Genomic DNA, 26006 nt, shown 5'->3' on the forward strand with positions numbered 1-26006 from the left:
ACATTGGTTTAAAGTGTGTGGAAAAATATCTTGAGTGATAGGCTCAGGTATAAACCGGTATTTCGACTGTATTTGGAAGTTGGGAAATGCTTTGTGAAATATGTCAACATACTGGTTGCAAATGCTAGGAATTGGGCATAATATTGGCGGAAAATAAAAATCACAAGAATGTCATATCATTCATTACCTGTAAAATAAAAATGAATTAGTTAAAATTAAACTTTCCTCATTAAAAGCAACAAGCTTTGACTTTCTGGTTTTAAAATTTATTTGAAACTTAATATTTATTATTCCATAGCATTATGTGGTGATAATTACACGTCTTGGGGATATCACTTTTGTTATTTTTATTTTTAGGGAAGCACACTGAGAAAGCGGAAGATGTATGAGGAATTCCTTAGTAAAGTCTCTATTTTAGGTGAGTTGTAAAGTGTGTTAACTTTGCTAGTATGTGAGATACCCCTGAATTAGAATTGGATGGACTTGGGAAAAGCCTTCTGAAAGTATAATTGCTACTCATTCCCCCTGAAAAGACAGAAGGGCTGAAAGTCCTTCTGACTGTGGACATTCACAGTTATTTCCTCTGTGACTTCCCGTCTCTCTTGTTCCATCATTGAGTTGATTGGTTCAGAAAAGTGAGTACTTCCAACAATACATTTCCTCTGTGGAAAGATTAGGTATCATTTGCTGGCATCCTCTGAAAACATGCCAGAAGTTTGTTGAAATTTAGAGTAAAGCAGATTAATTGAAGATATTCTTTTGTGCATTTTGTTATGTGGACTTGGAGATGTTAGAACTTGTTCTTCATGAAAGGGGAATGGGGATTTTTATAAGGTAACAGGCTTCTGCCATTGTTTATTACAGTGAATTTTTCACCTCTTCTTTGTCTTTTCTTTGAATTGGTTACATATGCTTTGTGTTTTGGATAGTAGTTTGGCCTTTGGGAATAAAAGTTATTTTCTAGTTCTTTTTCATAAAGTAAACCAAGAATTTAAATAGATTAAATTATTTCTATGAAACTTTGGAACGATATGGATGGGGAAACTATGACTTTTGAGTATTGTAGTTGTAGGTTTGATTTGCATTGATGGCAATCTTCAGGAATACTTAAGGATTACATTTTCTTATTCCCTTGCCATTTGGTACAGTTGGTATAAATTAACCTAGCCACTGGGCTACCGAAGTAAGGATCTAAGGGCTATCTGCAGGCAGTATGAGAATCCTGCTCAGACTAGAGGTAATTGAAGACAGGTACCACTTTTAATCTGAGACACTACTAGAATGTTGAATGGGCATGGCTATTTGGTTGAATCTCTTTATACTTTCTTTTTACCTTTATAACAGCACCAAATAATACAGAGCAGTTATTTTGATTCTTGTCTTTCAGAGTCTCTGGACAAGTGGGAACGTCTTACGGTAGCTGATGCATTGGAACCAGTGCAGTTTGAAGATGGGCAGAAGATTGTGGTGCAGGGAGAACCAGGGGATGAGTTCTTCATTATTTTAGAGGTAAAGAACTCAGAATTTAATACTTGAATTTTAGAGGTAAAGAACTCAGAATTTAATACTTTAAAAAGTTGTACGCTCTAAGAGGGAAAGAGTGGGCTAATTCTGAACTATAGCTTTAGTTTTTAAGAATACCTGACCATTTTATTTTAAAATTATCTTTTACTTTGAAATGCTGTTGTTTGGTTTTCTGCCAGGTCACTATATTTTTAAATGAGTTTGAGTCAGAATTCTTGAAGGGCCCTAGACATGAAAAGCCAAATTCTAAAAACCATTTAACATAACAAACTGTGATGATTCTGCACTATTCTTGTTAAAATGCAAGTGTTTGGGCTATTTGGCAAATAAGGATTAAAGGTAATTATTTAAATTTGAAAAATTACTGTGTTTGTATATCTCCACATTCCATGGAAATGTATAGCAGATACTCTTGCTAAGCGGATCCAAGTGGCAGATTTCTATGAATGTGGCTCCATAGTTGCTAATTGATTTTATTTAAATCAGGGGTCAGGAGACTGTAAAGGGCCAGGTGGTAAGTAAGTTAAGCTTTGTGGACCATAGGGTTTCATTCGCAAAGTCTCAACTCTTGTCATAGTGCAAAAGCAGCCACAAATAATATGTAAATGAATGTATGTGGTATTTCAGTAAAGTTTGATTTGCGAAAGAGACAGTGAGCTTGGATTTAGCCCTTCATCTACAGTTTGCTAACCCAAGTGTGCACCCTTTAAGCACCTTAGCTTGATACGAAGAACCTCGCTAGCAGGAGATGCTGGTAAAATAGAAATTGAAGCTCATGTGGTGACTAACTTTAAAGTCATTTTTTATCATATGCACACATTTGCAAGGTAGTTAAAATTGCATAGGATGTTTAAGGTGCCACCCTGGGTTTGAGAGTGTGTGTTTGTTTAGCTTTTTGGTGATTTTATTATAGGGGTCAGCTGCTGTGCTACAACGTCGGTCAGAAAATGAAGAGTTTGTTGAAGTGGGAAGATTGGGGCCTTCTGATTATTTTGGTATGTATGAATTCCCTCACAATAAATACATGGTTTCTTTAAGTCACCTCTCAGTGAGATATTGTAGTCTTCCATAATTTTGTCTTCTCCTGAATTTTATTTTCTAACTGCAGTCTTTTTTGGCTCTGAGAGGGAAGGTGTGAGATTTTGATCTTTACTCATTTAATGAAATTACTGATTGTCTCATATCTATTGTCTTCTTTCTCAGAAGTGCACTGCTTTAAGGAAATGTTTTTCATAGAAGTTAGCCTGTTACCCATCTTTGCTTTCTCCAGGTGAAATTGCACTACTGATGAATCGTCCTCGTGCTGCCACAGTTGTTGCTCGTGGCCCCTTGAAGTGCGTTAAGCTGGACCGACCTAGATTTGAACGTGTTCTTGGCCCATGCTCAGACATCCTCAAACGAAACATCCAGCAGTACAACAGTTTTGTGTCACTGTCTGTCTGAAATCTGCCTCCTGTGCCTCCCTTTTCTCCTCTCCCCAATCCATGCTTCACTCATGCAAACTGCTTTATTTTCCCTACTTGCAGCGCCAAGTGGCCACTGGCATCGCAGCTTCCTGTCTGTTTATATATTGAAAGTTGCTTTTATTGCACCATTTTCAATTTGGAGCATTAACTAAATGCTCATACACAGTTAAATAAATAGAAAGAGTTCTATGGAGACTTTGCTGTTACTGCTTCTCTTTGTGCAGTGTTAGTATTCACCCTGGGCAGTGAGTGCCATGCTTTTTGGTGAGGGCAGATCCCAGCACCTATTGAATTACCATAGAGTAATGATGTAACAGTGCAAGATTTTTTTTTTAAGTGACATAATTGTCCAGTTATAAGCGTATTTAGACTGTGGCCATATATGCTGTATTTCTTTGTAGAATAAATGGTTTCTCATTAAACTCTAAAGATTAGGGAAAATGGATATAGAAAATCTTAGTATAGTAGAAAGACATCTGCCTGTAATTAAACTAGTTTAAGGGTGGAAAAATGCCCATTTTTGCTAATTATCAATGGGATATGATTGGTTCAGTTTTTTTTTTTCCAGAGTTGTTGTTTGCCAAGCTAATCTGCCTGGTTTTATTTATATCTTGTTATTAATGTTTCTTCTCCAATTCTGAAATACTTTTGAGTATGGCTATCTATACCTGCCTTTTAAGTTTGAAACTAACTCATAGATTGCAAATATTGGTTAGTATTTAACTACATCTGCCTCGGCTCACAAATTCCGATTAGACCTTTATCCAGCTAGTGCCAAATAATTGATCAGATGCTGAATTGAGAATAAGAATTTGAGGTCTACATTCTTGGTTGTTAATTTAGAGCGTTTGGTTAAAGTATGTCCTTCAGCTGACTCCAGTATAATCTCCTCTGCTCATTAAACTGATTCCAGGAGATTGGATTTGCTGTGACTAGATACAGATGGAGCAAATGTCCTAACAGAGAAATAGAGGTGATGCTGCTAAAGGGAGAAATGCCAGGCGGACAAAGTTCAGTGTCGGGAATTTTCCCCGTGACATTCACTGGGGCATGAGATTTTGGAAGAAGTTTTTTACTTTGGTTTAGTCTTTTTTTCCTTCCTTTTTATTCAGCTAGAATTTCTGGTGGGTTGATGGTAGGGTATAATGTGTCTGTGTTGCTTCAAATTGGTCTGAAAGGCTATCCTGCTGAAAGTCCTGCTTTCCTATCTAGCATTTATTTCTCTGGCAAACTTTTCTTTCTTTTCTTTTTTAAAGTAAACTTGTGTATTGAGTCTTAACTGTATTTCAGTATTTTCCAGCCTTATGTGTTACATTATTCCAATGATACCCAACAGTTTATTTTTATTATTTTTTTAAACAAAATTTCACAGTTCTGTAATGTAGGCACTTTTATTTTCATTGTGATTTATATATAAGGTAATGTAGGGTTATATTTGGGAGTGACTGCAAGCATTTTTCCATCTGTGTGCAACTAACTGACTCTGTTATTGATCCCTTCTCCTGCCCTTTCCCAGGTAATTTAAATTGGTCATGGTAGATTTTTTTCATAGATTTGAAAAACTTTTAGGTTGTTACCAAGTATGAAGTATAAATCTGGGGAAGAGGTTTTATTTACATTTTAGGGTGGGTAAGAAAGCCACCTTGTTACAAATTTTTTAATTTCCAAAATAATCTATATTAAATGAGGGTTTCTGATCTGTACTTTGTGTTTAGCTACCTTTTTATATTTAAAAAATTAAAAATGAAAATTACGTTCTTACAAGCTTAAAGCTTGATTTGATCTTTGTTTAAATGCCAAAATGTACTTAAATGAGTTACTTAGAATGCCATAAAATTGCAGTTTCATGTATGTATATAATCATGCTCATGTATATTTAGTTACGTATAATGCTTTCTGAGTGAGTTTTACTCTTAAATCATTTGGTTAAATCATTTGGCTTGCTGTTTACTCCCTTCTGTAGTTTTTAATTAAAAACTTTAAAGATAAGTCTACATTAAACAATGATCACATCTAAAGCTTTATCTTTGTGTAATCTAAGTATATGTGAGAAATCAGAATTGGCATAATTTGTCTTAGTTGATATTCAAGGCTTTAAAAGTCATTATTCCTGGGCTTGGTAAGTGAATTTATGAGATTTACTGCTCTAGAAAGTATAGATGGCCAAAGGACCGTTTTGTATTGCTTCCTGATTACCAGTCTGATTATACCATGTGTGCTAATATACTTTTTTTGTTATAGATTGTCTTAATGGTAGGTCAAGTAATAAAAAGAGATGAAATAATTTAAATTCTTAAATGAATCAGTTTTTCTTCCCTTTCTCCTTTCCGTCTTTCCTCTCTCTGTCCTTCCCCGAAAGTCTACTCGGGTGGGCAAAAATGAAAAGGGGGAAAGTGAATTATGGGATCGGTGTTTTGAAAGAGCAATGTTTATTTTCAGTGCTTTTCAGTTTGTCAAAGAGTGGATCTCAAAATCTTGCTTAAAGGGTAATTGAGATGTAGCAGATTTATTTACTTAGTCATGGAAAGAAAAAAATTCAGTCAAAAGCTAAAGATTTCCTTTTGATTGAAGACAGATTGGTTCTGTGGCCTTGGAACTTTCCCAGACTTAATGGGGAAACATCATTTCTAGATTAGCATACTCTTTGGTTTAAATTTAATATATACATTTAATGTTACTTAGGGATACTTTTATATTTTGCATATATAAAGCCTCATATATAAAGCCTTATTTCTGATGCTCTTAGATTTCTGAGGAGTGAGATGATTAAGTTGTATTCATTAGTGTATTGGTATTTCTTCACATCCAGTGAAATTGGAGATATGTTGTATGTTAGAAGAGCATTCTTTAAATTGTGTTGCTTTGAACATGTGTACCTTTTCTAGATTCAGTAATCCCTTCCCCCCGTCCTCTGGAGTATGAAACCTTTAGAGTCACAATAAAATGTAACTAAAGAAAATTTCTCTGGGTTGACAGTCCTGGTTATAGTTGAATTCTCTCTAAACAGTGGCCCAAGTAGACTCTTTTTTTTGTTTCTTTTATTTTTTAATGATTTAAATATTGACATTTAAAAATTGAAGTAGCATGTCAGTTTTCTTCATACTACTTTATCTCTAACCACAAATAATAGCTGAACCTTTTGTACTTATGTTAGGCCCTGGCAGTGTATGTTTAGATGGGCTAAGACAACATCAAGAAGCAATGGCTAGATAACCATTTAATTTGTCCCCAAAGGTACGTTTTTATCTGTCTATTTGTCTATTTATCGATCTGTCTATCTAAGATGGTCTCACTCTGTCACCCAGGCTAGAGTGAAGTGGCATGATCACTGCAGCCTCTCTGCTTCCCAGATTCAAGTGATTCTTGTACCTCAGCCTCTGGAATAGCTGGGACTACAGATGTGTGCCATCACACCCAGCTAGTTTTTTGTATTTTTAGTAGAGGTGGGGTTTTGCCATGTAGCCTAGGCTGGTCTCGAACTCCTAAGCTCAGTTTGCCCACCTTAGCCTCCCAAAGTGCTAGCATTACAGGTGTGAGCCAGCGTGCCCGTCTCCCAAAGGTATTATTATAATAGCTATCAGTAAACGCTGTAGCTATGTGAATTTCTTAAATCTCTTCCTTCCTATGCTATGTGATTTTTACATAGAAAGCAGCATTGTTATGTACATGTACCGCTAACATTTGTTTCTTGACATAAGTTCAGAGCTGTGACTTCATCTGGACTACACCTAAAACCAAAACCACTGAGTAAGATTTTTTCATTTTGTGAAAGTTCTGCCAATTTTGCTTAAGTAGCTGTGTGATTTTAAAGGTTGCCACTAGATGGTGGGCTTTTTTTAATCTTCGTTAATCTCAAATGAGTTAACTGTTGATCCTTATCATTCATGGATTCTGTATTTGTAATTTACCTACTTGCTAAACTTTATTTGTAACCCCAAAATCAATAGTCACAGGGCTTTTGCAGACATGAGCTGGGAAGTGAAAAGTTTGAGCCTCCCAACACACATGTTCCCAACTGAGGTGGAACAAAGGGATGCTCATCTTTCATACTGTGAATAAGTGTCCTTTTCTTGGGTCTTTTTAGTGCCTTTTTTTTTTTTTTTTTTGCATTTTTGTATTTTTTTTGTTGTTGGTGATTTCACTATTAAAAGCCCCTAAGTGTAGTGATGAAGTGCTGACTAGTGTTCCTAAGTGAAAGAAGGCTGTGTTGTGCCATATGTAGAAAATATGTATATTGGATGTTTCTTTTAGGTCTGGGTTACAGTGCTGTTTGCCATGAGTACAATGTTAATGAATCAGTATATATTAAATAAAGTGTCTTAAACATGCGTTAACATAAAACACGCACACAGCAAGATTATGTATTGATCGGTCAATAAAAATGTAACTAGAGACTCCCAGCAACCTAACCCTGTATTTCCCCTAGGAGCAATGTTCAGTATTTGCCAATGCAGTGTTTGTGGTGACTTTATGGAACATAAAACTAACTCGTAAGAGAATGACTAATTTTTTTGTAATATTCAAACTCATATTGTCTTCCTGGCTTTTGAGAAGGCTAAAACGAATTCTTCCAAATGCCTCTTTCCATCAGTACAGTTCCCGTTCATTTTTTAGTTTGCTGTCAGTAGTAACTTGAAAAGTTCTCAGAGTCAAGAGACTTTTTATTTCATGGGAGGTAAACAGTTCAAAATGAACATGCTGGAAGAACTCGAGTAAGAATGAAACGGTTGGTTTTCTGATATTTTTGAGAAATGAGTCTTAATTTTGTTACTAATCAAAAAGTAATGGAAGGTTGAAAGATAAGTGAATAATAAGGTAGGTGTACCACATATCATGGTGAAATTCAAGCCTATTGCTTTCTGTTTGTAGAGTGCAGCAAAATGTGTATATAGGCCATTGGAAAACCAGTCCTTCGTTATAGGAGGTGGCGGGTTTTGAGGTAGAGCTGTAGCCTGCTTTCCTGAGAGTCTTATTTGGAAGTCCCAAACCATTTTGTGCTATTCTTTGAATGTTTTTACCCAGATATTTTCCCATTTCTGTGTGTGATCTCCTGGTTCTTCATCCACAGGGAAGAAACATCTTGAAGCAGGAGAGACAGTGAATGAAGTGGGGAGCCCTATGCTGCAGTAGGGCCACAACAGTTAAGGAAATCTTTGGGATTAAGGTTTCTCTGTTAAAGAGTTGATTTAAAAAAAAATTTTTTTTTTTTTGTATTTTTTTGTAGAGACAGGGTTTTGTCATGTTACCCAGGCTGGTCTCGAGCTCCTGAGACCAAGCGATCTGCCTGTTTAGGCCCAAAGTGCTGGGATTACAGGTGTGAGCCCATGCCCAGCTGATTTTTTTTTTAAGCAAACAAATTTGACTTCATAAATTGGGTGGGATACTGTTGGGTTTTGTGTTACAGTGAAAAGAAGACTTTGGAATAGGTCTAAACCACTAAATTGTGTGATTTTGCTTACTCTCTCTGAGATTTAAAGTTCTTCCATGCACATTGGAGGATGGGGGTTGTATCTGTGTTTGAGAGGATTGGAAACCTGTGTGTTGCTTCTGTAGCGTTGGTGAGTGCCTCACCTGGTCAGATCTCAGTGAATGGTAGTGATTTTAGAGAGACACAAAGTCCAGGGGCAGCATACCAGTCATGTGGGGGTACCACGGGGTCAGAAGTGTTATTTGTCCAGTCGAGGCTATCTTTGCTCACACTGCAGAAAGCTTGGAGACATTTCTGGTTCTTGACCTTGTACTCTCTTTAGTGACAGCTCCATTCTATTCTCATGCTTACAGTATTTGAACTCTGGCCTTTACTGGAAAAGTTGATTTGATGAAATGAGGCATTTTTACTTTTGTTGACTGACTAGTCACTCCATGGAATGAAGACCTTACTGTCCTTTGTGTTTTCGGTCATTAATTATGGAATAAGAAACAAAGCCTCCTATTAAAAGGAGTTTCAGATATCAACAAGTCAGGGAGAAGGTAGAGGAGACAAGGAATCCCTACTACACTTTCTTCTAAGGGAGGCTTCAATAAAAAACCTGACTTAGTCTTTTTTGAGCCAGCCGTCACAGGGAGGGGCATCTAGAGGGCCTCACCTTTCCACATAGCCCCTTTCTTCTTTTGGGGATGGGCCGGGGACAATCCTGGGGTCTTAGGGAAGAAGATTGTGGTTGGTGGGCTGTAGTCAGCCTTGGCTCTTTTCCTGCCTTACTCCAGGCTTGTGTCCCTGCTAGGCCTGTTCCCATGCCATCCTGACCTTGGAGGACTTTCCTTTTTTTTTCCTTCGTTGTAATTATTTATTCTGTTACTGGCTGCTTAGTGTGACATATTTGATGTTATTTCAATTGTAATACTCTTCAAATTGGAACACTCCTTTTCTGATATTCTTAGCAAATCCCTCTTTTATTTTTGCCACTTGTTATAATATCTCTAAGAAGTTACTCCAGGACCGGGCAGTAGGGATTACTGATTCAGATGGGTCCAGTGACTAGAATATGAGTAGAAAGTGTGAGGTCTAATTTGAACCTGTCAGAGTTACTGTTGCCTGCGCTGGCCCAAAGTGCAGATTTTTAGTCAGCTTGTGATAGGCCAGGTGTTTTGTCTGGACCAGGAGTTATCTTTGACTTGTAGCTAGAATAAGGATCCTGAGAAGTCAGGTATCCACTTGATGTCCTTTTATTTGACTTGTTACCATTAGTACTCTCCTGGGATCAAGGCTGCCAAGCCTGACCTATACCCAGATTTCCCAGTGCACTCAGGAGATCGTCGGTGGCCTTGATGAAGCCAGTGCTTTTTGGGAAAAACGGAGCAAGGCAACGCACGACAGAAGCGGTGCACCAAGGAGTAAAGATTCAGTTCCATGGGCCCCACTTGCTGTTTGAGAAAATGTCCTGCTTCCTTCCTAGCTGACTTGACTCCCAGCAGTAACAGGTGGGAGTGAGGACGCAGGGTCGGCACTCGAGTCGACTGCTCTGGCTCCAGGCGTATTTTCTGAAACTGGACTCTGCCAGCCCTTAGCTTGTCAAGTTAGCCTGGCCAGAGTCTGGGGCCAACTGTTCCACTGGGCCGTCGACTATGACACTCTGCTGTCCATGGGCCACTATGCACCCCTCCACTGTCCTTAGGATGGTTTGGAGCCTTCGATCCAGGGCAAGGAGGTGGGGTTCAGTGAGGACAGGGCTGAGCTGGTCTTCCAGCAGTGATTCTCGCATCACATCGCTGAGTCTGTAGTCAGCTTGGGCCAGCAGCTGCAGGTGCAAAAGTGTTTTCTTTTTTATCCTGAAAAGACAAAGTTACAGGAACCAAATAAGCAAATGTAAAGAAAATAACTTGCCTGAACTTCTTTCCCCACAAACAGCTGTTGTAGCTGATACTCTTGGCGCCTCTCCTTGTGTCTTCTCAGGCACATTTTAATGGAAACCAGGTAAAAAGGGAACAAATGAAAGGCAAAATCCAGTATCCTGCAGTCCTTTGCCCAATTGCGATTTGGTCAAGAGCCTGCATAGCCATTTGTGCTCTAATAATGGTGATGCTGGGCTATATGCATTTTCTCTGACAACGCTAAGGGAATCAAAACCAAAGTGATACTTAGGATTTTTCAAGGAGATTTAAAGCTAATGGGAGAAGTTTCTAGTAGGTGAATTGATGAGCTATTTGCTGTCTCAAAATCCCCCAGTACTGCCAGCCTTTAAGTTGTTTCTTGCTAACTTTATTTCTGTTTGTCAGATTTTAAAATCACAGAGATGAAAATGTGGTAGGACCCATCTTTAGGATTTCAGTTTCTTTTTATGTGGGAATCTGACTTGGACTCTGATGTGTAAGCAGCTTAATTGACTTTTGTCAAAAACAGGTACTGCTCATCCAGTCCTGCTCTGGAGGCAGGGAAGGGAGGCCAGAGGGAAGCATGTTTAAATTAACCTAAGACATAGATGAGGAATACTCATGCTCTACTCCGAGTTTTCCAGCTGGAAACAAATGAGATGTTTTTGCTAGGTGTGAATATCATATTTATAATTAGCTCTGCATACTGCAGCTGAGCAGGTGGTCAATTTTACAAGCCTGGCTGAAACACTGGAGAAGTGTGGAAGTAAGTTAGACATTCTCTAGAGAAATGGTGGCCAAGCAAGGGCCTTCGTGCCTTCTTCCAGTCTGCACAGGTTTACAGGACTTTAATCAGGGTTTTGCTTAGATGGTGATCAAGTAGTAATATTTATGAGCCGATATGAATGCTGGGCAAAGCAGAGGTCTGATTAGTAATATCAAAACCCAGCAGACTGCAAAAATAGGTGATTATCTGAGTGGGTCAACGATTAAAGTTGGCAATTGAAAGGTTTAAAGGATTAAATCCTAATTCATCCTATGTGGAAGGATGAAAAAGACAAAACGTTGTGGGGGAAATTTTGATAGTTGTAGTACAGTCATGAATCGCTTAGTGATGGGGATATGTTCTGAGAAATGTATCCTTAAGCGCAGGTTTTGTCACGGTGTGAACATCAGAGAGTGTACTCACACAAACCTAGATGGTGTAGCCTCCTGCACTCTTAGGCTATATGATAACTGCTTGTAGGCTACAAAACCTTTACAACACAGTGGTGGATAGCTGTGTATATAAACATAGAAAAGATAGTAAAACTGTAAAATGCAGTAAAAATACCATATTATTAATCTTATGAGACCACCGTCATATATGCAGTCTGTCATTGGCTGAGATGTCATGCAGTGCACAAATGTGTAGGAAATAAGGTGATTCATGTCATTCTACCCACTTACGTCCTGGACCAGTGAAAACTGGAAGCCCTTCAGACCTTGGCTGCAAGCAGCATGAAGGGTCACAACTGTTACTTGCCCGTATTATCTGCTGCAGGAAAACTTACATGCAGCACTGGGAGAGAGGCGAGAGGATGGAGATTTCATCATGGGAGTGTCGTCCGAACCTAGGAGGAGAAACAGGCTTTTATGGGTGGCCGGCAGCATCCTTTGCATTCCCCTGAGGCTTCCTCTCTCCTCTCAGCATTTTGTGAATCAGAGATTGGGGTAAAATGCCAGGGATCATGGCAGCTGCCTCTCCAGCCCCTCTCCCCAGTCAGATCACAAAAGCATCTGTACAGAGATGTTAGAGCTAAGCAATCCTTCATTCATTCACTAGCTGCAGAGGGCCAGCCACTGAGGATGCACCTTGCTCTCGAAAACCTCACCCTATTTCACTAGAGGGCACACGAGTGCTCTCAGGCTGGAGGAGGATCAAGTGGTTCTTGCAAAGGTAAAGAGAAAGAAGGAAATGGAAGAAGCCGGGCTCGAAGGAGACAAGGCACGTGGTGGTGGAGGCCCTCATTTGCAGGGCGTCTGTTTCCCCCGAGCAGCTGGCTGCACAGAGCAGCACATCTGGGAGAGGGGATTGTTGAACACACGTGGGGAAGCTCACCCTCTGGCGTTGTCAAGGTGAATAAGGAACCCATCATCCCCGAACTTGGTGAACATCTCATAATGGTGCCGGTCCATATTCCCTGTGAAGGAGGGGAGGACTTAGCTGGAACCAGCAGGCCAGGGGGACAGGTGCTCCTGACCTGAGTTCTCTCCAGGGAACGGAGGCCTGTCATCACTTGAGAGACAGGGGTGTGAACGAAGCTGGGCCTCACACTGTCATTTCCTCAGGGCCATCAGTGAAGCAGCCGCAGGAGGGAGAAGGAAGCGAAACAAGCAAACCCTAAATGGACTGGCTTCAAGTCTAAGGCTTTCACCCCTGCCCCTGCCCCTACTCCAGCCTTTGGCCAGAGATTTGAATGTGCAGAAAGTCATCTTTTCACCTCGTGTATGTATTGACATTGGCTTTCCTCAGCCCAGAGATCCTCAGCTGATCCTGGTTATAGTAAACAGACACAGCTAAACTTCCTGAAAGGCACGATGATGAGCCAGCTGTCTGACTTGCTTCCGACCTAAGCTCCTGTATGACGGCCACCTTCATAAGTGTCTCGTCTCCCTAGAAGTCCCTGTGGGCCTGGAAGGTGGAATTACTAGTCTTGTGTGTCCGTGGCCTCGCCTGAGGCCCTCCCTGCTACATATTTGTGTACTTTCTTCCCTTCCTACCTGGTTTCCCCTCACTTGGTGAAGTGAACATACAGCTTCCAATCTGACGCCCACTCAGGCCCGTGGCAGGGTGAGATGCCTGCCTTATGAGTGACGACCCCTTGAGCTTCTTCCAGTTCTTTGAAGAGAGGGGAGCCTGTTACCTTCTGTCCTCTGGGACCTCCGCCACTTCTGAGGCTGTGGGAGGTGCAGAGTTACTCAGTCCTCATGAACCAGGTTGTAAGTTTGTGCTCAAGGTCACGGGGAACCCTAGCCACATAGCAGAGCCCACTTCTGCTGGGGGCCTGCGTGTGGGGACCTACCTATCAAGAAGTCGAAGATGGCCATGTCGATGACATTGAGGAGCCGCTGGCTGTTGTTGTACGGGTAGATCTGTTTCACTGTGTCACAGTAAAGGGGATTGACCTCCCACCTGAGGGGGAGAAGAAGTCCTGGGGCTGGAAAAGCCAAGATGGCAGGGTGTCGGGGGTCTCCCCACACCTCCCCCTGCCCCCCCAATCCCTGCCTCCCTGATCCTGCCCTGGGCTGGTGGCAGCTTCTAAAATTCAGAAAGGCCCTGGGCAAGGACGCGTAAGGCTGCATATTCCGTGTGGTGAGAAGGTCCTGGGTCCTTTAAGTCTGGTGGACACTAAACCCATGGTTGGGATACTGTGTGCCAGAGGGGAGAGGCCGGGGCAGGCAGGAAAGGAGGAGGTAGTGACCCTCACCTGCTTCCTCGTCCCTCCACAGTCCCTCTCACCAAGCCTCTTGGACCCTGCGCCACTCATAGCACCTCCATGGGCTGTTCCTGCCCTTTCTCTCTCACACATGGTTTTCTGCCTACAATGCTCCGATGCCCATTTTCATCCGAGGGCTCTTCTCAGCCTTCACAGAGTCCCTTAGGATCTGTCATGTCCTCCAGAAATTCTGCCTGGTTACTTCTTTTCCCACGATGATCATGACGGCTTGACTGATGGATCGATTCACTCAGTCAGCTAGTGTGGAGTACCTGCTATGTGCCAGGGAGGGTGCTAGGTCCTGGGGATACAGCAGTGAGGTCCTTGGTCTCCCAGGGCTTGCTCGGGAACCAGGTGTCCCTCCCATGGGATTCTCGTGTGCTCCCTGGTTATAGCAAGTGCTGTGCTGTGTTTTCGTGATCTGGCTACATGTCTGTTCTCCCCACTAGACCAAGGAGCTTCTCAAGGAGAGAGTCTGAGTCTTCCATTTCTGTATCCCATAACACCTAGTGTTGGGTATATGGAAGGTTCTTTAGAACTGAATAAATGAACTAAAGGGGAGAACAGACCCAGGCCTGCTGATCCCAGGATCAATATGAAATGGGGCAAAGGAGTATTGAGGCAGCTTTTCAGATTCAAAAGCCAAGCTAGCAACAAGTCCCTGGTACAGGGTCTGTGGCTACTGTCAAGGACTGGGCTGTGTGGCCTGGGGACCAACTCACTCCTCTTTTCCTGCCAGTGTGTAGGAGCGGATCCAGGGGTTGGGCACAGACAGCCTGGGGGCCAGGTTGAGGGACGGCAGGAAGGCAGAGAGGGAACCCTCCAGCAGGTGTGGGTTGCCACAGACAGCATACTCCGTCTTGCACATGTATGGACACTTGGCGAAGAAGCACACGTTGCTCGCTGGAGGATGGGGAGGAGAGAGGAGGAGTAAGTGGAGGGCTCTGGAGGCATGACATCTTCCTGGCCTAGGAAATCCACTGGGAGGGAAGGGAAACCCTGAACTCACAGCTCGGGAAGAGAAAGAAGAAGAAGGAAACATTGACTTTTCCAGAAGTGAGGGTGTGAATGCTACTAAGCTGAACCTCCTGGGAACCTGCTTTCAAATGTCCCAACCTTACTGCATTCTATCCTTATGAGTAGAACACTCTTTATTACCCTGGGTGGATAACCTCTGGTTCCGGGGAGGCCAGCATTGTAGGGTCAATGCCCACACAGACTAGGTAGCATCTCAAACACAACCTTTCCCATCCAGTTCATCTTGTGTTATGGTCAGGCAGACCATGGTGGGAGTGTCTTACAACTTCATACGCCCATCCCAGTAATGGATAGTGCTAGCAGCAGGGTGTCAGGCCACTGATGAATGGAGGGGTGGACACTCTGGCTTACGATCTACTCAGACCCGGAATATCACTCGGGCCAGTACTCTACCTGGAGAGACAAAGAAAACACTCTGCAGGATTTCATTCTTGGTGACCTCTAGGATTTCCTTGGTGACATTTACTATCCTCCCCACTGTTGGCGGCACCCGTCGGAAGTCCAGAATCCTGCAAGAGAGGAAGCTCTGTTCCATCTGAGGGATGATCAGGGAGTGAGGAGGAGGGGTTTTGTCCCCCGGCCAGTGCACATTAGGAATTGGCTGGTGTACCCAGGAGGGTGGCCGGTGAGGCGTGACTCTGCACTGTTGAGCTGGTAGTGCCCAGGTCAACACTGGGCCTTTAAACCTAGGTCTAAAGGAGTGGAGATGGAGTTGAAAATGAATCCTTATTCCGTCAAGCCTCCTGGGCAAACCTTCCCACCATCCCAACTCTGTTCTTGGTCAGTGCTTCTCATATTTTAATGTTCCTGTGAGTCACCTGGCAATCTTGTTCAAATACAGGGTCTGATTGAGTGGTTCTAGGGTGGGGCTGAGATTTCTTATTTCTAAAAAGCTTCTTGGAAGTGCCCATGACGCTACAGACCACACTTTGGGTAGCAATGACTGAGCAAATAGAGGGAGTGGAATGTTTAGGAATGTGCTTTCACCTAATATCATAACAGTGAGACTCCTTGGATAAATAGGAGTGGGTGCATTCTCCTCGCTCTCAGATCAGGAAACTAGAGCAACTGCCCCAAGCAGCATGGCGGGAAGCGTGTTCTTTGTAAATTGTTCTTTTCGTTACATTCGTTAAAAGGCCTTGTGTTTTTCAATCTGGGGGGTTGCATGGGACATTTTGAGTTCAAAGACACCACGATGAGGCACGAAGAAGATAGAAAGCCAGAAGGAAGAAATGCCAGGGAGTTCCCACCTTGAGGGTCTGTCTAGCCACCCCTCCCAGAGGATTGGTCCTTATAGGCAATGCCATCTCCATGGGGCCAGACCCTACCTGTCCAGATGGAAAGCTGCGATCTCAGCATTGTGTCTCTGAAAGTCAATGAAGTAGAAGAAGTCCACTGGTGTCTCCTCATCTCGCTGCTGTCTGGAAGGAAGGAAGGAATCACGCCCTGGACTCAGACTTCAGCTGGGAGCCTGAGAAGAGAGCTGATGAGCATGACCAGCGAGAAAGGAAAACGGGCTTTTATGCTTTTCATGTACACACAGGCGATGGCACGGCAAGTCAGGAATGGCCTGTGGCTCCCTTCGCCAGGAGAAGACAAGCAAAGTGGGAGGAGACAGGCTTCTTGCAAGACACTGTCCTGCAGGCACCACCAATACCAAGTTTCCTGCTTAAGAAGCTTTGGTGACAGTGGCTGATTATTTTCAAAACCCAGCAGTTGAGAGGGAAGAAATAGACATTCTTCTGCAGGTATAAACAGAAGAGAGGGGAATGGTTAGCAGAACCAGAGGTAGTGCAGATCCAGATGTCCAAGGATGAAGAAAGGTGGGGTATGAGCCAGGAATTGGTAATGGAAAAGTGGCCCAGAAATGCAACTTAGTATGCTGGGGTTGAAGAACAGAAAAGTTCTGGGTCTTAGGGGGATGTGGGGGAAATACGTGGACCATCATCCCCTCAGAGAAACACAGCCGGATCATGAGGGCTGGGGGCAGCTGGTGCAGAGGATATTGATTTATATACATTAAATCTCTAATGAATTCCTGAAAAGCGCCAGGCTGCCTGAGAGTGGTGGGGCCTGCTGGGTGTGTACATTCATGAAAGTGCTTTTTAATCCTTAAGGGCCTTGTGGTGTGAGTTCTGGCCTCTAGGCTGACTTTGCCTCGAGGCTAATAAACATGGAAGAATGATGATCTTCGAATAATTTTATAATCCACTGTGTGGGACTGTTGAAACGACTGCAAGGCGATTTAGATGTAAATAAACGTGATGTTGCAGAAATCTATAAATAAGAAGCACTGGCAATTTAAACCGTGTTGTGCATTTTGCCAAAAAACACGAGTGAGTCCTGGAAACCACAGTGAGGTGCTGCCAAAAGTAGAGATTCTATTTTAAAAGGTGCAGCCACCGTTACAGCACAACCCTCCGTGCTCAGGCCTGGCCAGCTTATCATCATCACTGGATGTCCAGGCTAGCAAGGACAATCCCTCTTCCCAGTCTCATTTTAATTCCTGAGTCCCATCTGTAGGAACATATCATCTTTCAGACACCTTTTAGGTTCTTCTAAAACATTTTCTCATTTTTGTATGATGTAAGATAAGAAGTAATTTTAAATTCAAAGGTTGTTTTTACTTTAGATCAGTGCTTCTCATACTTTGAGAAGCACTAATGCACGTCTCATTGCACATTATATTGTATACATTACATTTTAAAAATATAAATCTTTATGTTCCTAATGTATATTTTCCAAAGTTAAAGTTCTACATTCTCTCTTTAATCAGAAAAAAATGGTGTTCGCCTTAAATTACTTACAGAAAAATACAAAGCGCATAATTTTTCAAGAGATACATTTTAAAATGATAGTATTTTAGATTTGGGACTGAATTTTATAAAAATGTAGATTACACTGTGTTATGGTATGAAAATAGATAAAATTGGTCCTGTCACTGAATGTTGGAGGGTTTTGCATTGTATTTCGGAAAAAAGCTGGCTAGTTGGAACAATTTTTGTATAGACACACTTCGGAGATATTGCAGGTTTGCTTCTAGACCACCACAATGAAGCAAATATGGCAATAAAGTCATTCATGCACATTTTTTGGTTCCCCACCCAAGGCATATAAAAGTTACGTTTCATTATACTGGAGTCCAATAAATATGCAATAGCATTATGTCTGAAAAATGTATACATCTTAATGGAAAAAGCACTTTATTGCTAAAAAATGCTAACACTCTTCTGAGCCTTCAGCAAGTCATAATCTTTTTGCTGACTGACTGGGGTGGTGGTTGCTGAAGGTTGGTGAGGCTGTGGCAACTTTTAAAAATAAGACAATAATGAAGTTTGCTGCATCGATTCACAAAAGATGTATCTGTAGCACGCAATGCTGTTTGATAGCATTTTACCCAAAGTAGAACTTCTGTCAAAATTGAAGTCAGTCCTCTCAAACCCTGCTGCTGCTTTATCAACTAAGTTTGCATAATATTCTAAATCCTCTGTGGCCATCTCAACAATGTTCACAGCGTCTTCACCAGAAGTAGATTCTATCTCAAGAAACCACTTTCTTTGCTTATCCATAAGAAGCCACTCCTTATTGGTCGGGTGCGGTGGCTCATGCCTGTAATCCAAGCACTTTGGGAGGCTGAGGCAGGTGGATCACGAGGTCAGGTGATTGAGACCATCCTGGCTAACACGGTGAAACCCTGTCTCTACTAAAAATACAAAAAATTAGCCAGGCATGGTGGCGCATGCCTGTAGTCCCAGCTACTTGGGAGGCTGAGGCAGGAGAATTGTTTGAACCCAGGAGGCAGAGGTTGCAGTGAGCCGAGATTGTGCCACTGCACTACAGCCTGAGCAACAGAGCGAGACTCCATCTCAAAAAAAAAAAAAAAAAAAAAAAAAAAGCAGCAACTCTATCTGTTCAAGTTTGATCATGCAGTTGCAACAATTCAGTCACATTTTCAGACTCCACTTCTAATTCTAGTTCTCTTTTATTTCCACATCTGCAGTTACCTTCTCCACTGAAGTCTTGAACCCCTCAAAGTCATCCATGGGGATTGAGATCAATCTTCTTTTAAACTCCTGTTAATGTTGATATTTTTACCTCCTTCCACGCATCACAAATTTTCTTAATGGCATCTAGAATGGAGACTCCTTTCCAGAAAGTTTTCAAATGACCTTGCCCAGGTTCATCAGAGGAATCACTAACTGTGGCAGCTATAGCCTTATGAAATGTATTTCTTAAATTGTAAGACTTGGCTGGGCGTGGTGGCTCGCGCCTATAATCCCAGCACTTTGGGAGGCCGAGGCGGGCGGATCACGAGGTCAGGAGATCAAGACCATCCTGGCTAACACGGTGAAACCCTGTCTCTACTAAAAATACAAAAAATTATCCGGGCATGGTGGCCGGCGCCTGTAGTCCCAGCCACTCGGGAGGCTGAGGCAGGAGAATGGCGTGAACCCGGGAGGTGGAGCTTGCAGTGAGCTGAGATTGAGCCACTGGACTCCAGCCTGGGCGAGAGTGCGAGACTACGGCTCAAAAAAAAAAAAAAAAAAAAGGTAAGACTTGAAAGTTAGAATGACTCCTTGATCTGTGGGCTGCAGAATGGATGTTGTGTTAGCAGGCATGAAAACAACATTAGTCTCCTCGGACATCTCCAGCAGAGCTCTTGAGTGACTAGGTGTATTACCAATGAGCAGTAATATTTTGAAAGGAATCTTTTTTTTTTTCTTTTTCCCCTGAGCAGTAAGGTCTCAACAGTGGGCTTAAAATATTCAGTAAACCATGCTGTTAACAGATGTGTGGTCATCCAGGCTTTGAGGCTCCATTTAGAGCACAGGCAGAGTAAAATTTAGCATCACTCTTGAGGGCCTGAGGATGTTTTGAATGGTAATTGAGCATTGGCTTCAACTTAAGTTCCCAGCGACATTATCACCTAACAAGAGAGTCAGCCTGTCCTTTGAATCTTTATCATTATTATTATTATTTTTTTATTATACTTTAAGTTCTAGGGTACATGTGCACAACATGCAGGTTTGTTACATATGTATACATGTGTGTTCTTTGAATCTTTGAAGTCAGGCATTGACTTTTCTTCTCTAGCTATGGGGAAAGTCCCAGATGGTATCTTCTTCCAATAGAAGGCTGTTTCATCTACACTGAAAACCTATTGTTAGTGTAGCTACGTTCATCAATGATCTTAGCTAGATCTTCTGGATAACCTGCTGCAGCTTCTCCATCAGCACTTACTGCTTCACCTTGTACTTTTATGTTATGGAGATGGCTTTTTTCCTTAAGCCTGGTGAACTAACCTCTGCTATCTTCCAAGTTTTCTTCTGCAGCTTTCTCACCTGTCTCAGCCTTCATTGAGGAGAGTTAGAACCCTGCTCTGGATTAAGCTTTGGCTTAAGGGAATGCTGTGGCTGGTTTAATATTCTATCCAGATAACTTAAACTTGCTCCGTATCAGCAGTGAGGCTGTTTTGCTTTCTTATCATTCGTGTTTAGTGGAGCAGCGCTTTTAGCTTCCTTCAAGAACTTTTCCTTTGCATTCACAACTTGCCTGACTGGCACAAAAAGCTTAGCTTTTGGCTTATTGGCTTTCAACGTGCCTTCCTTACTAGCCTCCTGAATAATTTCTCGCTTCCCATTTAAAGTGAGAGATATGACACTCCTCCTTTCATGTGAACACTTAGAGGCCCTTGTTGGGTTACTAACTGGCCTCATTTCAATATTGTTGTGTCTTAGGGAATAGGGAGGCCTGAGGACTGGGAGAGATTGGGGGAACAGCAAGTTGTTGGAGCAGTCAGAACACACATTTAGGCCAGGTGCAGTGGCTCACACCTGTAATCCTAGCACTTTGGAAGGCCAAGGTTGGCAATCACTTGAGGCCAGGAGATCGAGACCAGCCTGGCCAACACAGTGAAACCCCGTCTCTACTAAAAATAGAAAAAATTAGCTGGGCATGGTGGCACACGCCTATAATCCCAGCACTTTGGGAGGCTGAGGTGGGCGGATCACCTGAGGTCGAGAGTTCGAGACCAGCCTGGCCAACACGGTGAAACCCCGTCTCTACTAAAAATGCAAAAATTAGCCAGGTGTGGTGGGCAGCGCCTTTAGTCCCAGCTATTTGGAAGGCTGAGGCAAGAGAATCGCTTGAACCCAGGAGGCAGAGGTTGCAGCGAGCTGAGATTGAACCATTGCACTCCAGCCTGGGCAACAGAGTGAGACTCTGTCTCAAAAAAAAAAAGTTTGAAATATTGTGAGAATTACCAAATGTGACACAGAGACACAAAGTGGGCACATGCTGTTGGGAAAATGACACCGATAGACTTGCTTGATGCAGGGTTGCCACAAGCCTTCACTTTGTAAAAAACCTAGTATCTGCAAAGTACAATAAAGTGAAACGCAGATACAGCGAGCTATGCCTGTATATTTTTTTTTTTTTTTTTTTTTTTTTGAGACAGAATCTCCCTCTGTCGCCTGGGCTGGAGTGCAGTGGCTCGATCTTGGCTCACTGCAAGCTCCGCCTCCCGGGTTCACGCCATTCTCCTGCCTCAGCCTCCCGAGCAGCTGGGACTACCGGCACCCACCACCACGCCCGGCTAATTTTTTGTATTTTTAGTAGAGACGGGGTTTCACCGTGTTAGCCAGGATGGTCTTGATCTCCTGACCTCGTGATCTGCCCGCCTCAGCCTCCCAAAGTGCTGGGATTACAGGCGTGAGCCACCGTGCCCAGCCTGCCTGTATTTGTTTTAACTGACCAGGCAGAGATGTATTAGGCTGTGAGTTATGTTAATTTATTTTCCTGCAAAGGAAATGCTACAGGTTCTAGCAGTTTTTCCTCCCTGATACAAAAGAACTGAGAGTGGAGCTCATCCATTGCATATTAGCTTCCAGTTTTAAAAAATGAAAGGCATCCGGCCAGGTGCATTGGCTCACGCCTGGAATCCCAGCACATTGGGAGGCCAAGACAGGGGAATCGCCTGAGGTCAGGAGTTCAAGACCAGCCTGGCCAACGTGGTGAAACCCTGTCTCTACTAAATATACAAAGTTAGCCAGGTGTGGTGGTACACATCTATAATCCCAGCTACTTGGGAGGCTGAGGCAGGATAATTGCTTGAACCTGGGAGGCCGAGGTTGCAGTGAGCCGAGATAGCGCCACTGCACTCCAGCCTGGGCAACAAATGCAAAACTCCATCTCAAAAAAAAAAAAAAAGTTAGAGACATCCTATTGTGCCACATAAAAATTTTGCTCGGAGAACAGAATCTATGGACCTGGTGATTTGTGGTGCGTTTGCAGATTTATCATTACTTTTATGCTTCTCATTAACATCTCCTGTTTCTCTATCAGTATTCCTTAGGTTGCCTCTCTCTAACTGGGGCTGTCTTTTGAGTATATATTATATGTGCTCGACTAACTGTAACAATAATTTAAACTCTATGACAACCAGAACCTCACTGGTGACTCTTGTGTTCAGCTGAGCATTGTGCCAAAGAGTCACATGTCTACTTGTGGAACCTCTGCTAATTGCCATGTGTATTTGCTGTTATAGCTCTCATTTCAAAGGAACACAATGTATTTATTTACATATTTTAGTACCCTATATGTCTGAATACAAGATGAGGTCTCTCCTGAAATTGTCCCTTGGAAAGGAGTCTCTATATTCAGTCCTGGCATAGTTAGCCAACCACTTTGTTTTGTTTGGGACAGATACATTAACCTGGAATGACTTGACTTTGCGCTGGTTTTACTGCCTAGTGTAACCGGTTACAACGGGTTGATGGTGGTGATGGGGGAGGGGAGTGGGGAAATAAGTTAATATTGATTTGACATTCACCCCCAACTTGACTCTAAGTGATGATGACAACCAATTCCCCAAATTTTTGACAAGTAAAATCTACAGTGGGAGAACAAAAGCAATATTTCTAAATCTATATACTGTTTTATATGATGGGATTTTAAAATCAATATAAATATAAGCAGACATTCAATTGTCTCATGTACATTTCTGGAGAATTTTAAGTTGATCTAACAACTAGGATTTTGGATCTTTCACATAGGAAAAATGGGGGAACTTTTTTTTTTTTTTTTTTTTTTTTTTTAAGATAGAGAGTCTCCCTCTGTTGCCCAGGCTGGAGTGCAGTGGTGCGATCTCAGCTCACCGCAACCTCCTCCTCCTGGGTTCAGGAGATTCTTCTGCCTCAGCCTCTCGAGTAGCTGGGACTGCATACACGCACCACCATACCTGGATAATTTTTGTATTTTTGGTAGAGATGGGGTTTCACCATGATGGCCAGGCTGGTCTCGAACTCCTGACCTCAGGTGATCCACCCGCCTTGGCCTACCAAAGTACTGGGATTACAGGTGTGAGCCATCGTGCCCAGCAGAGGAACTCTTTATACGGCAGTGGTTCTCAAGGTTGCCTGGGCCTTGGGATCACGGGGAGAGCCCCCAGAGCTAGTCCACTGGACTCCCTGAGGGTGGGACTCAGGCATAAGGATTTTTAAAGCCTCCTTAAGTGAATCTAACATGCAGCTGATCCACTCCAACCCCTTCTTTAAGGAGGTGCTTTCGCCAAAGCAGTTGGGACTGAAACTCTTTATTCGGTGCTTATTCAAGTAGGCCCTGCCCTTAGAACCATCTACTGGGGCTCTCAATGGGCCTCCCCTTGAATGGCTGAAGGTTTGGAATCTGCCAGTCTAATTGTATTCCACTGGAAGAAGCACATTCTGGAGGAAAGCATGACTTGGGTAACGTGGCCCCTCTTGGGGCGATTTTCTTTTCTGCAGGTCACCTCATCATCTCAAGGAGGAGCATTCCCCTGGGCTAAGGCACTGGGGCCGAACTCTAGGAGACCCTAACCTGTGGGCTGCAGATCCTTTGGGGGCCAGAAACCCAAACTCACACCAAGCTCTGTCTAAGGACTCAATACATATTATTTCACTCATCTCTATGTTTCACAAAATTTTCAAGGCATGTAGTTGCTGTTGTTATGAATAAAATATAAATTAATGTAAACATGTAATTGACTTCCTAGTAGCCTTTCTTGATTGTCTAGTTTTTCAGTTGAAACAAGTATTGTGGTATACAAGTCCGTAAACTTTTTGATGTCAAAAAGAGAGTGCTTTCCCTGGAAAAAAGTATGGATCAATTAAAGTGGTGGAGTGTGAACTTAGCAACCCAGATGCCTGGGTTTGAATCCTGGGTCTGCTGTTTGCAGCTGGAAGATTGGGATGAGATGGTCTCTTTCAGCCTCAGTATCTTTATTTGTAAAGTGGACATTGTAAGAGTATCTGGCTCATAAGCTTGCCCGTGAACCAAGGACACAACTTAGGTCATTGTGTGGCATAGATGATAGTAAGGGCCTGAAAAAGACAAGCTCTTAGTATTTTCAATTATTATTATTATTATTATTATTATTATTATTATTATCACCCCAAACAGTTCTGTGCTTGGGCAGATTAGAGAATCTCTGAATAACTGGCAGAAAGACTTTAGGTCACTTTTATTAGTTTTTGGTCCAAATCTTCCCAGGGCCACCCCAACTGGGTGTGGAAAGGAGGAAGGCAGTCACTTACCTCATGGGTTTGAACATGGCCTTCCCGAAATCCGAGAACCTCAGCACCAGCTTGAGGTGGACCCCACTGGGTTTCACAACTGTGAAAGGCAGAAGGGTGAGTTAACCATGCTTCCGGGCCTCAGCCAAGGCTTGTGACTCTGTTCCTTCAATAAGCCCAGCTGACTTCGCTTTCCTCTTATGTAATGAGACCCTAAAGACTAGGATGTGCTCTCCATAGCCTGCAGGGTAAACGCCATGGTGTCAGGCCGTAGTGACGGTGTCCAGGGGCTCAAGACAGTACTTTTTACTTTGGGAGGTGAAGGCGGGAGGATCGCTTGAGCCCAGGAGTTTGAAACCAGCCTGGGCAACATAGTGAGACCTCCATTTTGAAAAAAAAAAAGTACATTTTCTGCTGGTATGGGAAAAGAGCAAAAAATACAATGAAGACATTTACTGAAAACCCTGAAGAATGTTTTCCTAAGAAGAATGAACCCTTTCCTCTTTGTGTTTCAACTACATCTTTGTAGATTCTAATTATGCCTTCTGTTATATTAGACTAGTTTGTTTATGCCTCTTTCTACTTAAGACTGTACACCTGGGCTGGGACCAGGGCTTGGCAAGTGAGTGCTTCTTAGGTGCAGGGAGTGCTACTTCCTTAAATTTTGCATCCTGGGCACCTCACTTCTCTTACCCTCTCCCTGGTTCTGGAGGGTCAGGACAATACCTCACTCACCTTGTGTTCTATAAAATGGTCAAGGCAGGTGCTTAACTGAAGAAAAGGGAAGCCTGGAGCCCTGTAAACCTTTATTTTCCTTTTTTTTTTTTTTTTTTTTTTTTTTGAGACGGAGTCTCGCTCTGTCGCCCAGGCCGGACTGCGGACTGCAGTGGCGCAATCTCGGCTCACTGCAAGCTCCGCTTCCCGGGTTCACGCCATTCTCCTGCCTCAGCCTCCCGAGTAGCTGGGACTACAGGCGCCCGCCACCGCGCCCGGCTAATTTTTTGTATTTTTAGTAGAGACGGGGTTTCACCCTGTTAGCCAGGATGGTCTCGATCTCCTGACCTCATGATCCACCCGCCTCGGCCTCCCAAAGTGCTGGGATTACAGGCGTGAGCCACCGTGCCCGGCCTAAACCTTTATTTTCAAACCTTAGTGATATGGTTAGGCTTTGTGTCCCCACCCAAATCTCATCTCAAATTGTAATCCCCTTGTCTCAAATCTCATCTCAAATTGCTGAGGGAGGGATGCTGTGAGAGGTGGTTGGATCATGGGGCAGCTTCCCCTGTGCCGTTCTTGTGATAGTGAGTTCTCACGAGATCTCATGGTTTTATAAGGGGCTCTTCCCCCTTTGCATCCTCTCTCTCCTGCCACCATGTGAGATGTGCCTTGCTTCCCCTCCCCCTTCTGCCATGATTGTAAGTTTCCGGAGGCCTCCTAGCCATGCTTCCTGTTAAGCCTGCAGAACTGTGAGTCAATTAAACCTCTTTCCTTTATAAATTATCCAGTCTCAGGCATTTCTTAAGAGCAGTGTAAAAATGGACTAATACATTTTGACACACACCATCAGATGTAGTCACATGTAGACATTTCTGATGTGTGTTCCACATATTGAAGTAAAGGGATGGGGCCACTCATGG

At 42.9% G+C, this 26006-nt stretch overlaps 2 protein-coding genes across 22 annotated transcripts in view, besides 1 other annotated feature; one reads left to right on the forward strand and one right to left on the reverse strand.

Annotated features, from left to right (window-relative positions):
* PRKAR1A (protein kinase cAMP-dependent type I regulatory subunit alpha) overlaps positions 1 to 23834 on the forward strand; it is a 137694-nt gene extending 113860 nt beyond the window's left edge. For 10 of the 11 annotated variants that reach the window (NM_001278433.2, NM_001369389.1, NM_212471.3 and 7 more), the window contains 4 exons: positions 358 to 418; positions 1388 to 1509; positions 2438 to 2519; positions 2795 to 5949. In NM_001278433.2, coding sequence (NP_001265362.1) covers positions 358 to 418; positions 1388 to 1509; positions 2438 to 2519; positions 2795 to 2967 — 438 coding nt within the window. In that variant the 3' untranslated portion in view covers positions 2968 to 5949. Of the gene's footprint in view, positions 1 to 357; positions 419 to 1387; positions 1510 to 2437; positions 2520 to 2794; positions 5950 to 23601 lie in introns of those variants that run through there. The other variant, NM_001276290.1, reaches the window with a different exon arrangement.
* Positions 526 to 820: a silencer, noted in NCBI's record as "tiled region #15560; HepG2 Repressive non-DNase unmatched - State 15:Elon". NCBI's record gives its function as "represses a minimal TATA promoter and a strong SV40 promoter by Sharpr-MPRA in HepG2 cells {active_cell/tissue: HepG2}" and the evidence as "EXISTENCE:reporter gene assay evidence [ECO:0000049][PMID:27701403]".
* FAM20A (FAM20A golgi associated secretory pathway pseudokinase) overlaps positions 7634 to 26006 on the reverse strand; it is a 66252-nt gene continuing 47879 nt past the window's right edge. For 3 of the 11 annotated variants that reach the window (NM_017565.4, NM_001243746.2, XM_006721959.4), the window contains 8 exons: positions 24391 to 24469; positions 16147 to 16239; positions 15212 to 15327; positions 14503 to 14683; positions 13367 to 13476; positions 12403 to 12484; positions 11855 to 11914; positions 7634 to 10259 (listed from right to left, as the gene is read on the reverse strand). In NM_017565.4, the coding sequence (NP_060035.2) occupies positions 9995 to 10259; positions 11855 to 11914; positions 12403 to 12484; positions 13367 to 13476; positions 14503 to 14683; positions 15212 to 15327; positions 16147 to 16239; positions 24391 to 24469 (986 nt within the window). In that variant the 3' untranslated portion in view covers positions 7634 to 9994. The other 8 variants (NR_027751.2, XR_002958041.2, XR_934487.4 and 5 more) reach the window with 8 other exon arrangements.

The sequence above is a fragment of the Homo sapiens genome, chromosome 17, assembly GCF_000001405.40.
Source record: "Homo sapiens chromosome 17, GRCh38.p14 Primary Assembly".
Taxonomy (NCBI): domain Eukaryota; kingdom Metazoa; phylum Chordata; class Mammalia; order Primates; family Hominidae; genus Homo; species Homo sapiens.